Here is a 14,959-nt window from a genome sequence, read left to right as displayed (position 1 = left end):
ATACACCATGGAATACTATTAATATTACTTTTGAGACAAAGTCTCACGCTGTTGCCCAAGCTGGAGTGCAGTGGCGCCATCTCGGCTCACTGAAACTTCCGCTTCCCAGGAGATTCAAGTGATTCTCCTGCCTCGGCCTCCCGAGTAGCTGGGACTACAGGTGCACACCACTATGCCCAGCTAATTTTTGTATTTTTGGTGGAAATGGGGCTTCACTACGTTGGCCAGGATGTTCTTGAACGCCCGACTTTGTGATCCATCCACCTCGGCCTCCCAAAGTGCTGGGATTACAGGCATGAGCCACGGCGTCCAGCACCGGTAATTATTTTTAAACTAAGAAATCTAACTATTTTCTCCTCCTTGCAACATAACCATACATATGATCACTCTTTTTTGATATAGCTACCTACATTCAGTATAATTCTTGACATTAATCTACTTTCTAACCAAACAGTGCTTGCTTAGTCATTTGGTCATTTTTATTAAATTTTAAAGCATAGGTAACTTTGCAATATATTTTATCAAAGTCTCTTTGATCTTTCCTAATTGAAAAGGTTATACAGAGCCCATTTACAACAATGGAAGGATTCATAAAAACAAGAGGTAACATATAACACACCTGAGCATGAGTGGTCAAAGAGAATTTATTGAAAAAAATATCCTTATGCCCTTCAGATTTCACCCTTATTAATTCTTCAGCATTTATAAGCTTTATTCAGCAGATTCATTAATATTTTGTTTTAGTTGAACAAGTGAGAATTTGAAATGAGCCATGTTGGAAGTAGCTGGCCAAAAGCCTACTCTCTTCAGTTTAGCCACATTGCCGTTCTCTGTATATCAATGGCCGCATTTCTCATTTTCCCCTGTGTCAGGCAGCGCTGATGCAAGCACAAAGCTTCTTTTGAATTAATAGATGAGCACTGGGGTCAATTTATCAGACCTACAAGGAGAGAAGAAATGAGCTCAACAAGCGGAGGAATGATCTGGAATACAAAGACAAGAGCAAAATGAGATTATACTAGACACATCGCTTTATATTCTATTTTGATTCTAATAATCTAATAGCTTTTACAGCTTTAAATTCTGATTATTCCTTTTTATTTTTTAGCAACTTAAATTAATTGAGCATTTGCAAAAGAATAACATATTTATTTATAAATAATTTATTTGGTGATCTGTAGATAATAGAAAAATAAACCATTTCCTCTTAGATAAACAATGATATACAAGAAATGTATCCTGAAGAGCATTTCTTGTTATATTGTTTTAAAGCAGCATTGTTCAATAGATACATAATGTGACACAGATGTAATTAAAAATTTTTCAAGAAGCCACATTAAGAATAATTAAAAAGAAGCAGTTAAGGTTAGTTTTACTAATTTATTTTACCTAATATTTTCAAAATATTATTTCAAATGTAATCATTACATGAGTATTAATGCAATATCTTATATTTTTGCTTTTACATACCAAACCTTCAATATCAATTATGCTTTTTATATCTGATAGCGTATTTTAAGTGCTCAATAATTATATATAGGAAGGGCTTATATATTAGGTAGTGCCAGGTCAAGAGAAATAGACCATTAAAATGATAATTGAGAATAATCTTTCGGATGTTCTGCTGAATGTAATCACTTATGAGCTCAAATATTTACTATATACTGGCCGGGCGCAGTGACTGTCACCTGTAAACCCAGCACTTTGGGAGGTCAAGGCCGGCAGATCACGAGGTCAGGAGTTCGAGGCCAGCCTGACCAACATGGTGAAACCCCGTCTCTACTAAAAAAAAAATACAAAACCGGGCACGGTGGCTCACGCCTGTAATCCCAGCACTTTGAGAGGCCGAGGCGGGCGGATCACGAGGTCAGGAGATCGAGACCATCCTGGCCAACATGGTGAAACCCCGTCTCTACTAAAAATACAAAAAATTAGCCGGGCTAGTGGCGGGCGCCTGTAGTCCCAGCTACTCAGGAGGCTGAGGCAGGAGAATGGCGTGAACCCGGGAGGCGGAGCTTGCAGTGAGCCGAGATCGCGCCACAGCACTCCAGCCTGGGTGACAGAGCAAGACTCCGTCTCAAAAAAAAAAAAAAAAAAAAAAAATACAAAAATTAGCTGGGTGCGGTGGCGGCGCAGGCCTGTAATCCCAGCTACTCAGGAGGCTGAGGCAGGAGAATCACTTGAATCTGGGAAGCGGAGTTTACAGTGAGCCGAGATTGTGCCACTGCACTCCAGCCTGGGTGACAGAGAAGACTCCGTCTCAAAAAAAAAAAAAAAAAAAAAAAAAATTCTATATGTTTAGTGATTGCTGTGTCGTATAATCTGTATAACCAAATATATATTGAGCCTGTGCCACTCAGATTATGTGATAGTATCTTTATTTACCTTTATTTCCACAGATTATCTTTTACCAAAATAAAAAACCAAACCAAAAATGAAACCCCATATCATTGTATTGACCATTGGAGGTATTTACGTCTTCCTTTTTTGTATCTGTGTAGCTCAGTTCTTATAAGAATACTTGTTTGGGAAATAAATTTATTCAAAGATTTTTGATTCGAGAGCTAGCTAACTTTATTACAAACTACCAGAATTTATATAAATTGCTATCAATCTCTGAGCCTCTGAAAGTTTAATTGTGATCATGATAATGTCATAATTATTATACCATCTTCATAGGTAATCTGTGTATCACAGGCAGAATCCTAACCCTCCCCACCAGCAAGATGACATATTCTGATCCCTGGAACATGTGACTATGAGAGACATCTCTGCCATTATTACATATTATGTGGCACAGCTGACTTTAAAATACTAGATTATCCCAGAGGCCTGGCCTAACCATTTGAGATTTTAAAAGCAGAGAATTTTTTTCCAGCTGATGGCTGAAGAAGTCAGAGCGATTCAAAGCAGGAAAAGGATTCAATGTGCCCTTGTTGCTTTGAAGTTGGAAGAGGTCACTTGAGAGGGAATGACATATAGCCTTGGGGTACAGTAGCAGACATCAAGCTGACAGCCATCAATGACACTCCTGTAAGAAACTGGATTTTGTAAACAACCTGAATAACCTTGGAAGTAGATTCTTCTCCAAAGCCTCCAGATAGAGTGATACCCAGTGAATGATACCTTGATTTTGCTTTACGTTGGTCTTATGAGACCTGGAGCAGGAAACCTAATAAGGCATACCAGATTTATCACTTATAGAACTATGAGAAAAAAAGATATTGTTTTAAGCCACGAAATTTGTGGCAAATTATTACAGCAGCAATAGAAACCAATATATTATGTGAAAATATCTTTCAGTTTTCTAAATTTTAGGCATTACAATTAGAACATATAATACATTGGATTCTCTCTTTTATTTAAATTCTTTGTACATAGATTAGGCTGGTCTGTTCTATGACCAAATGTAGTATTTCTAAATACAGTACTTCCAGCAGTTTTCCAATTTGTATGTTATCCTTATTAACATGAACTACTTGAGAGTAATGACAAGCAAGTGCTAATTAATTACCATTGTGGAATAGCTCAAATAGTCTAATCTAATTAACGGGATATAGTAGAACACAATTAGCAACATATTTACTTTATTTTCTATCCCACATACCATAGCATGGGACAGGGTAATTTTCTTAATAAATAATGACAAATAATTCTGATAAAGACACTGATAATTAGATTACAGTGGCAATATTCAAAATTTAAAGAGAGAAGACAAATATACTTTGAAATTAGTGTACTTCTATAAAAGGCTGTTTTATGGTACTTTTCAAAAATCAATTGAATATTTTATTAATTACAGGTATGTCAAATGTAATGATCGTTATTCTGATATTCAAGATCAGTTGGTGAATATTATGAATATTAATGACTTAAAATGAAATTTAGTCTCAATGACTATGATTTTTTTTAAAAAAGGCTTGATTTGGCATAATACCATGCATTTTAATATACAGGTACAGAATACATGTCCCAGGTAGTGTGCTGCAATGGTTACTTTTCATGTGAACACACACACCTTTTCTTAGGTTATAGTGTCAGTTTGGGTCCCCTGAAGCCAGGCTAACATTAGATGATCAAAAGAATCTTGAGGAAACACCTGTGAAGGTGAAGAGGGCAAGAGAAGACAAAAAGAACCTTCAGAACACGATTCAGCCCTGATAGCTGTTGAAATAAGAGAAAGAAGAAAGAAATGGTAGTCAGTGCCCTAGGTTACAATACAGGTCTCTGAATATTTTGGACCGTCCAGTCAGTGGAGAGTTTCAAGCAGAAGTCCATTCGAGGAATCCTATCGTGTATATTGCTGAACTCTGTAATCCGCTCCCTTGGCGAATTTTTAAAATTCTTGTGTTATTATTACCACACTCTCTTAATTACTACAGATTCATTATAGATTTTTTCCAGGTTTATTGAGGAATAATTGTCAAGTAAAAATTGTATATATTCAAGGTGTACAACATCATTCAATAAGCATTTATATTGTGCAATTATTACCACAATAAAATTAATTAACACAGTCTTCACCACACCGTACTGTGTGTGTTTGTGTGTATGTATGCGTGTGTGTGTGTGTTCGTGGTGAGGTCACTTCAGATCTGTTCTCTTAGCAAATATCCAGTAAACAATACAATATTATTAATTATAGTCACTGTGCTGTACGTTAGAAAATCAGAAGATATTGGTCATCCAACACAAACAAATATCTGTATACCTGTTGTTGTCAATTCTCTACCTCTTTTTCCTTTCATTTAAATTTGTCCTACCAATCCTGGCTATTTACATTGCTATGTGAATTTTAGAATTAATTTACCAGTTTCTGCAAATACCCAGCTGATATATGGCTAGTATTTCTTTCAAGAAATAGAATAATTTGGGGAAAAAATGACATATTTATGTTGCTGGTTTTTCAATATATAAACATGAAATAATTACCTTCCATTTAGTTAGATATAATTAATTTTCTCCTGAGTAATATATCATAGTTTCTTGTATAAAACACTTGCATACCTTCCACTACACATATCCACAGAAATTTGGGCTTGTTTTTTTATACCTTGCTTGAGAGTGCTCAGTGAGACCATTCTCTAACAAACATTTCCCAATAAGTATTATGAAATACAGATTAGAAACTCCGTCCTCACAAGAGTGGGAGTATGAGATCTATATTCACTTGCTTTTTCTTCTTTCTGTTCATGAAAATAGTCAGCTAATAACATAGGCTATGGTCCACTGTGTATGTGGTGACAGCACACTCAGAATAAAAAATAAAGATATTATTGAAGAATCCCAATGCTATGATTATATATTTTTCTCCAAAGTCAAATATATATTCCTCATATCAGAAATGTGTGTAGATCAGCCAAGTTAATAATTGTTTTCTCATGTGCAAAAAGAGGTTTATGAAATAGGTTGAGACAAGCACAAAACTAAAGATATATTATAAACTAGGTGAAATCTTTATCCCCTAATCTATCTTCCTATTGAATTGTGCTCAGCTAATTCTTCCAATCAAACTCACCCATAAGGATAATTTCTTGAAAATGACATGGTACTATTATTTAAATAATCCTCTGTCTGTGTTCTAGAATGTTGTAGATTGCAGAACTTAAAACTCAATTCTATTATCAAATTTATGTTAGTATAATTAATCCTCAGCTGTGAAATTTCTTTTTTTTAGCCACAAATAAATTAAAATTCTGAATAAATATGTTTCTTCAAGAGCTGATCTGAAAAAAGAATAGTTGGGGTGACTACATAAGAATCACCTAAGGTACTTCTAAAAATATGTATTTTATCTATATTCTCTTTACCCAATCTGATTTAGTAGATAGGGACAGACACAATATTATATAAAAATGCCCAGGTGACTTTTCTATGTGGCTTGATTGGGGAACAGCTCTGCATTGTTCTGGTTATATAACATCATTAGTGTTATTGCTGTAGAGCATGGAAATATGCAGTACAGGAAATTAAAACCATAATATTTATTTATTGTCAATGGACATTATTATTTTGCCTAGTTATAATCAGAGTTCCTACTTTAGGAAATATAGCCTAAATGTTTGCCAATTAAACAGTTATAGCTCTTTTAGCACTTCTCCATATATACTGATCTGAATAACCCAAGTCTTTTATGTATCCCTTTTTCAAAAGGCCAAGAAATCAATAAGATTAAACAAGGCTTGTCAACATCCCTTTTAACTGTGCTTGAGCAAAACTGTTATTTCCACAGTGCCACTGCCAGACTTGATTTCAGAGACTAATAAATGAAGATATTAAAAAGTTAAGAGAAATTATTCAAAATTTCATTTTCAATGGATACATACAGTCCGGTCAAACAGGTTATTCTGAGTCTACAACTGAAAGGTATACTTTGTTTTGGAGAATTATCCTTCCCTCAAATTTAACCGTGGCATTTCTCCCTTTAACAATGAGAAGAATACAGATGACATGATCCAACTTTTATTGAGAATCCAAATTCATACACTCTTCTTTCTCATTGATGGGAATAACTGAAACATACGTATTTTTTCATACTGTGTGGAAATATGTAACAATATTTCAGTTCTTGGTTTTTCTTGACCTTTACTAATATGTTTAGCTACTTCAATTTTTACTTTTCCATTGATCCTTCTATTTCCAGTATACAAACATTTTGAAATAAGTGTGGATTTTGCACGAGACAACTCCTCTCTTCCATTTTCTTCCATTTTGTTAGGAGGATACTCTACAGTTAATGCAGGAAATATTAAGCAAAGGCCATGAACTTGGATTTCCTGCATTCCAAATATTTTCAACTTACTTTTTTTTTTTTTTTGTCTTTGGAGACAGAATCTAGCTCTGTTTCCCAGGCTGGAGTGCAGTGGAGCAATCTCAGCTCACTGCAACCTCTGCCTCCCGGGTTCAAGTGATTCGCCTGCCTCAACCTGCCGAGTAGCTGGGACTACAGGTGTGTGCCACCAGGCCCTGCTAATTTTTTTGTATTTTTAGTAGAGACAGGTTTTCACCGTGTTAGCCAGGTTGGTCTCTATCTCCTGACCTCGTGATCCACCCGCCTCGGCCTCCCAAAGTGCTGGGATTACAGGCATGAGCCACCGCACTCGGCCTTCAACTTACTTTTTAATATGGACCTCTTTACTGTCCCAGACGTTCCATTTCTAGTGCCTTCGTAATTTTTCTCTATCCCATTTATTTTCCTAGCGTATGCCCCCAGATTTGTGTAGTCCTCTTAGTGGAAGCTGGGAGTTCTTTGGTTTTCAGTTCTATAAAAAGTATCCATTGTTCAAGAAATTGTGATCAATTTTATCCCTTAAAAATTTCTTCAAAGTTGCCTTCTTTCAACAGTTCAAATTCTGACCCTGGCCTACATTAAATCTTTTGTGTTTCTGTCTCATTCCCTTTTAATGCTTTTCATATTGTATACCTTTCCTCAGCTAGTCACCTCATAGTTCATTTCATTTATACTTCCCTATCTATATTTGACAGGTGAACTAGACTTTCACTTAGAAAATGCTTATGGTAGCTAATGAAATAGTCATAAATTAACAGGTTTAATTAAAAAAAGTAATTGCAAGATTATGGAACATCTAGTTTAGGGCATCAAATTCTTACCTCTCAATCATCATTGTAGAGGATGTGGCACATGTAAGAAGAAAGTAAATATTAAGTGAACAAATGAACATAAGATATAATGGTCTTCAGCTCTACTAACAGGCTAATCTTCCCATTCCCTGCATCCTTATCCTATTGCCTCATGACCTAGCCCAAATCCACCTAATGCAGTTGTAATTATTCAGACTTGAGTCTAACAAACGTGCAAAGGCTGACCCTGACATTCCTTTGTTGTGTGACTTTTGGCAAGTTACCACTCTTGAGCTTCAGTTTCTTCATTTATAAAATTGACCCAATGATAATATCTATGTCACAGAAATGATGTAAAATAACGTATGTGAAAATATTTATCCTGGTAACCGAATATGGTGAACACTAAACATGTTAGCTGTTTTTACTGTAAGGTCCTCAGAGCAGGCTGAGCTATGGCCAAGCCATTGAGACCCCTGTGACCTACACGTACACATCCAGAAGTTCTCCTGGAGCCAGTTAGTCTGGGACAACAGGAAAACCCCAAAAGAAGAAAAAGCCGCTAGTTCCTGTCTTAGCTGATTAGCCAACCTTGCGACATTCTACCATTGTAACCTGCTCTACCCTAACTGATGAATCAACCTTGTGACACTGTGCCCTGGGACCCCTCCCACCTTGTGATAATGTACCTTGTGGCATTCTTCCCCTGCCTGCAATAAACAGCCCCTAACTGTAACTTTCCACTGCTTACCACTAACCTATAAAACTAGCTCCAATCCCACCACCCTCCTCTGACTCCCTTTTCGGACTCAGCCCGCTCACACCTGAGTGAATAGACAGTCTTATTGCTCACACTTAGCCTGTTCAGGTGCTCTCTTCAATTACACACATGCATCACATTTACTATATTCGGTGAAAATTAGGATTTGTTAGACATTTTTATCTACACTTACCATATAGGCTTGATTTTTATTTTAGTTTTATTTTTTAAATATTGATTAAATAACCTGATTTAAAATTGTGTGTTGGTGTTGGTTATTTATTCTAGTGAATACATAAAAAAATTTTGGATAGTGACATGTATATTTAAAGAAAAGAGATATGTGATTTCCAACTGATAGAATTATTAGCTCCAATATGACTTTCTGCATTAAAAAAACAAAAACAGAAACACAAACAAATGATCTTCATTGAAACTGCATGTGGTTTGATATTTGGAAGAACAGTTACATGTGTATTCAGATTTCTTATGCAAGTGCCACTATTAAAAAAAATCATTTGTGTTTTTTCCCATATTGTTAACCTATATCATTTTGCATTAATTTGTCTGGCATTCCTTAGGCTTACAAGACTTTGGAACATAGTTTCAAGGTTTGATTTTATTGATACGTTTACACAACAAAGCATCATTTAAAATGTCATTAAATAAGACAAAAAGTTACATTACTCCCTTTAGGATCTGAGTAAATGTGAACACCTGAGAGCTTGCCATTTATGATTAGTATTTCACGGTACATCAATTAAGCATCCTTCTTCACAAACATAATAAGTTTCCAGCTAGTGTATGTAATACCTATAAAATCTAATGTGGCTAATGAACAAGAATAAAATAACGGTAATCTATGAGAATAAAATAAAACATAAAACAAAGGTGAACAATATATTGTAGAATCAGGGACACCTTAGAAACAAGGACATAATTTAAAGTTTAAAATTCAAAAATCATGCAAAATAAATGTACAGGGATATGCACTACCAATTCTTTTAATTTTGATTTAAATGAGAAATAATGCTTACTTGGAAGACAGGCAAATAGAAGATTTAATAGATGATTATTATGATGAAAAATATTATCAACTGTCATACACCAATACAATGGCATATGTTCTGTGAAATAATGAGATGGGAGAGTTTCCTTGACCCCTTGTGGGACTTGCAACGGGTGTGGTTTCCTTACTTGGCTAGTCACTGTGCTCAAACCCATCATGGGACAGGGAGAACTCAGGTGAGCGGGTACCTGGGCCAAGGTGAGCACTTTTAGGCTCCAGTCCCACAGCAGCATCTAGGGGTTTGTTACAATTAATGCTCCTTTAGCAGTTGCTGTCTGCAGATGGCTAAGTATTAACCAGCTCAGTGGAGAGTCAAGTTGACAGCCTTTTACACCCTGCCCTCTTGGTACCCGGGTTCTTGTTAGGCGTCCGGGAAGAACCAGGTCACATGAATGGTTTGAAAGGTGATGAATGTGGAGAACTTTATTAAAAGGTGGAAGTGCCTCTCAGCAGAAAGGGAGCTGGAAAGGGGATGGTGCAGGAAGAAGGTGGTCTCTGAGTGAAGCTGCATCTATCTGTAGTCTCCAAGGCTCATTTGTTTCTTCTCCTCTAGAGTTTTAGCTGCTTCTTCTCTTCTCTCCTTCTCTGCTGTGCTGCTCTGCTCCTCTGCCAGTGAAGCTTGGGGTCTTTGTGGGTACAGGGTGAGGGACATGGTGGGCCAAAAGGCAACACTCAGGCAGGAAAATGGGAATGTGAAGGATGTGAAGTTCTCATTTAGGGTCACAGGTTTAGGTTTGAGGATGGAATCTTTGCCAGAGACCCTGCCCTCTTTTACCCAGTATTTCCCTGTCTCCTATCCATATCAATAATAAGTTAAAAAGATTGGCTAGTTGGAATCTGAATTAGAGATTTGGATGGAAATGTAAAATAAAAAGTAAAAGGTATTTCAAAAAAAGGTCTTTATAGCATGTATATTTTGTCCTATTGGGTTTATTTCTAAAGTTTTGTTTTCACTAAAGGCAAATTTTCTCTCAAGTGACAGCTAAGGAATATTGTTTTCTTGTTTAGTCTAAAGTTAGTTTCTGGGAAAAAAAATCATTAGGTTGTATGAAACATAATACATATGTCAGTATTTTTCCCTAGCCTAATAGCTGAACTGTACTTATTGCTGATTTTTTCAGACTGTTTGCTGCTGCTTGCATCTCCTCCTTTCAAACATAAGGGTAATGTATATTTGAGAAATGTACAAGACTTTTTTGTCTAAGAAAAAAGGGAAAATCGAACTCTTTCTCCAAAAGAAAACAAAAACATTGGCATCAGAAAATAACATGTTGCTGTGACTACATATTCAAATTGGAAACGAAGTTATCAGCTTATTCTGGTACTGCAATCAAAATGAATATAAAGAAATTACACACATTCTAATAGCTTCAGTGTCCTCTACGTACATTTTATGCAGTATGAGCAATTTTTTCTGATTACTTTTTTCCCATTGTAAAAATTTATGTGAGAAAAAAAAACAACTTGCTCTTACTATAAAAATCAAAATAGAGAAATAGTAAAACTTAGTGGGAAACTTATGTCTTTTGAGGACAGACAGACTTGATCTTGACTCATATGTGGACCAATCTTGAGGTAGTGACCTTGGGCTAGTAATTAAACCTCTTTGAATTTTATTTTTCTCATCTATTACATTGGGCTAGTAATACCTACATCTTACAGCTATAGTGAAGTATTGTGAGGATTAAATGTGTTGAACTTGCTTGGTATGCCTGATAGATTTAATGTGGATGAATGCTACTTAACATGATTAATATTTCTTTGCTACTATGTACATAAGTTAGTACTTGGAACATGGTAAGCATTTAGGATATTGTAGAAATTAGGTTGTGATAAACTCACTTTTGCTCAATTTCAATATATTTTTAAAATTAGACGTGTTAGTACAGAGATTCATAAGGAGATGTGTCATTCATTTTTCATAGAGTGGTTGAATGACAACTAACTGCTATTTCATTATTTATTTGAATATACAGCATAATATTATATATATCTTGTAGCGTATAAATCTAATCATGTTACCAACCTTCTTAGAAGCCTAAAAAGATATTTTACTGCCTATTTTAAACGAAAAATAAAATTCTGCGCCCCTCAATCAATTGAATGGACCCCCTTCTTTACCAAGGAGACCCCAAAGATACCTGAAAAACTAGTTCAGGCCATGATGGAAATGGAGGGTTGGACATGCCTCATTATGCCCTTCTCCCTTTGGAGTTGTGGAAAGAAAATAAATCTCGGTACCCTAACATCACTAACCCGGTGAAAAATGTCAGACTGGGTACTGCTTCGGGCAAACCTGCCTCTCTTTCTATTCCTAAATAAGATAGCTACAAAAAAGCTACATATCTCCCTACAATTTGCCCACAAGGAAATTCCTTGTGGACAAAGGACAAGCAGAACACAAAGTCATCCCTATGCTCACATGAGACAAATGCATACCCAATTGCTTCCTTTGTTCCACTGTTTCACTAAGCCAGACAAAAGCACAAGTGACTATTTCTGTAAATTGTATATTCAGTGAAAAGTTAATCAGAAACTCAAAATAATGGAACAATTTGCCTCTTATCTACCTATGAGCTGGAAGCCCCTTCCCCACTTTGAATTGTCCTGCCTTTCAGACCAAACCAATGTACATCTTACATATATTGATTGATGTCTCATGACCCCTAAAATGTATAAAACCAATCTGTAACCTGTCCACCTCGGGCACATATTGTCAGGACCTCCTGAGGCTGTGTCTCAGGCACATCCTTAAGCTTGGCAAAATAAACTTTCTAAATTGATTGAGACTTGTCTGAAGTACTTTTTGGTTTACAGAGTTTACACACAACTGACCAGCATTAACATTAAAACAAATCATGAAATCCACCTATGGATCCTCCTATGACCTGAAAGCCCCAACTTCCAGATGTCTGGTCTTTCTGGGCCAAATCATTATTTATCTTACATGTATGGATTTGTGTCTTTGGCTGTAGCTTCTGTCTCTCTAAAATGTATAAAACAAAGCTGTAACCCAGCCACCTTGGGCACATACTCTCAGACTTGGACCTCCTGAGGCCGTGTCATGAGCCATGGTCTTTAACCTTGGCAAAGTTAACCTTTAAATTCATTGGGATGAATCCCAACTTTTGGTTATACTATGGAATAAAAACCAAATGCTTAAGTATTAAATGCCATGTTTTTCATTCTTTGTCCCATATAATTTTATTTAGTCATATTTATATCTTTCATTTACTTAGTCTTTATTATTTTTGTTCCTTCCTTCATTCATTTATTTTTTGAATTTAAATATACCTGAAGTTATTGTAAATTATATATATGATATAATGCAGCAAAGCATAACATTCTCTTCTCACACCTTCATTGCTACTTCCCAGAAGAGACAAATACTATAAGTTTGTTATATACTCTTTCGGAACCTTGACTTTATTTATGGAGTCAGAAAATATCTTAAAATGTTAATTTTAGTTATTTATTTTCCATACTTCCTTATATATGCTCCTCATAACCTAAGTGTCCACAATGCAAAGACGTCAGTTATAGCAGGAAACTAGTAAATGACCTTTAACTATTTTTGTTTTTCTCATTCAATATAATTTCTTGAAGCCCTCAACAGAAAAAAAAATACAAATCATTTAACTTAGAGGGACATCTTTCATTTTTTTTCATTTGGCTGGTTGGGAGAGAGGCATCTCTTAATAATCAGACAAGAGGTGAGATATGGTATATGGGCCTTAATCTCATAATAATAAACTTATACCAGTTAATGTGGTATTTGGTAAATATTCTGTTTTGATTTATCTGAAGCACCTGGTAAGATTGCACTTCCAATCTACCTTGTAGGTTTATGGGATTTTGTGGCAAATGCTGGGCAAGGAACTGAATGTGCTGATGGAATAGTTCTTTTTGAAGCCAGCATCTTTAAATAATTAATGCCAATATTGACAGTGACACGAGACAGACACACTCCTAGGCAAACAGGGATGAGTCCCTGGTGAAACCCGACCTTCAAGCCGAAGACAGTTTAAAGCCTGAAAACCGAGCTGCTAGTTCCAGATAGAGTTCATGATCAGAGTTAGAAGTTCTATCCCCAGCTTACCTTCTCTCTCTTGATTGGTTCCTTCCGGATGATGCTTTTTAACCAATTGGATGGTGATTTTTTCAAAGAACACCTATGGACCAATCAGCACACATTCTCCCATTGTAAACCCAGACAAGCCCAGACTCAGCCTCACAGATGACAACCCACTTTCAGGGTCCCTTTTCACAGTTGAGGGCTTTCCTTCTGTCGCTCAATAAAATTCTTCTCTGCCTTACTTACTCTCCAGTGTCCACACACCTTATTCCTCTTGGTCACAGGACAAGAACTTGGAACTCACTCAGCTGTGGGCGGCTGGAATGAAAGAGCTATAACACATTCCTGCTCACCGGACTACAGGAGAAAGACAGCTATAACACGCTCCCACTGGCTGAGCTACGAGAGTAAAGAGCTGCAACTTTTCTTGGGGCCCAAACCTTGGGACTCCCCAAGCAAGAGCTGTAACACCACTTGGGGCTCCGCGATTGCTGGCATCTCTGAGGTTTTGGGCACCACCAACCTTCGCCTATTCTAGACGCCTGCGCCCTATACAGAAGCCACTCACAGCACGCCTGATTCAGGCTCAAGCTGAGCATAGAGCCAAGGCAGTCATGGGATCCGGGCCAGGGAGTGAACTGAGTGCAGGCTGCTGGGCTGAGCAGGCAGAGCGAGTCCAGCTGGCCCTAGAAAGGCCAGGCCAGAGGCAGCCGTGGCCACAGAGATTTCCAGGCAGTGCTGGCCACAGAGATTCCCAGCTGGCAAAGTGGCACCAAAGGAATCCTGTAACAATATGAGACCCACCATAGTCACCTTTTCTTTTTTTTCTTTTTCTTTTATTTTCTTTTTATCTGCCAGGACAATTGGGCATAATACAGATGAAGGCGTTCTATCGTTTTTTTATTACAGGGTAATGATGACACAGAAGTGTCAGCTGACCAACAATGAAAACACAGCCAGAGCAGGAAATAAACCTTTGTGGCAAGTGACTGCATTTTGTTGTTATTACAGAAGTATTGCCTAATAACTTCCAGCTAAAACAATATTGCAGATATGATTCTTTTGATTTATGACTTTTGCCTGAATGATATTATAGTTGAAAATAATTCAGTTGGGGGACATGTGCACTGATTATGTAAAAAGCAAGTTGTGTATAGAAATCTTGTTTTGTTACATAATAGTTGTATAAAATGAGAAAACTCTAAAAGTTTTCTTATATTGTGCTCAGTTTCATAATTGTAAATAAATGATGTTTTTCACAATGTTATTGTTATGATGATGGAAGATAATTAATTATTCTCTTGTATATAGAAACACCTAACCACATTAGGCAATACAGTAATGCCTATTGAATATGTCAGAATAAATACTTATTTGTCATCAAAACTCTATTTGAATAAATATGGCCAATCATGAAACAGATAAATTGAAATATCACGAATATTACTGCATAAAATATTTGTTACATATTTCA

At 36.4% G+C, this 14,959-nt stretch overlaps 1 long non-coding RNA gene across 1 annotated transcript; it reads right to left on the bottom strand.

The window, feature by feature from the left end:
• Positions 1–626: 626 nt before the first annotated feature.
• LOC124903242 (uncharacterized) lies at positions 627–14,105 on the bottom strand. Its single transcript, XR_007063928.1, has 2 exons — positions 13,510–14,105; positions 627–940 (listed from the first exon to the last, which is right to left on the bottom strand). It is a non-coding gene; the product is annotated as an uncharacterized LOC124903242 (long non-coding RNA).
• Positions 14,106–14,959: the final 854 nt, after the last annotated feature.

Source organism: Homo sapiens, chromosome 13 (assembly GCF_000001405.40).
Source record: "Homo sapiens chromosome 13, GRCh38.p14 Primary Assembly".
Lineage (NCBI taxonomy): Eukaryota > Metazoa > Chordata > Mammalia > Primates > Hominidae > Homo > Homo sapiens.
This window is presented reverse-complemented; position numbering and strand designations above follow the sequence as displayed.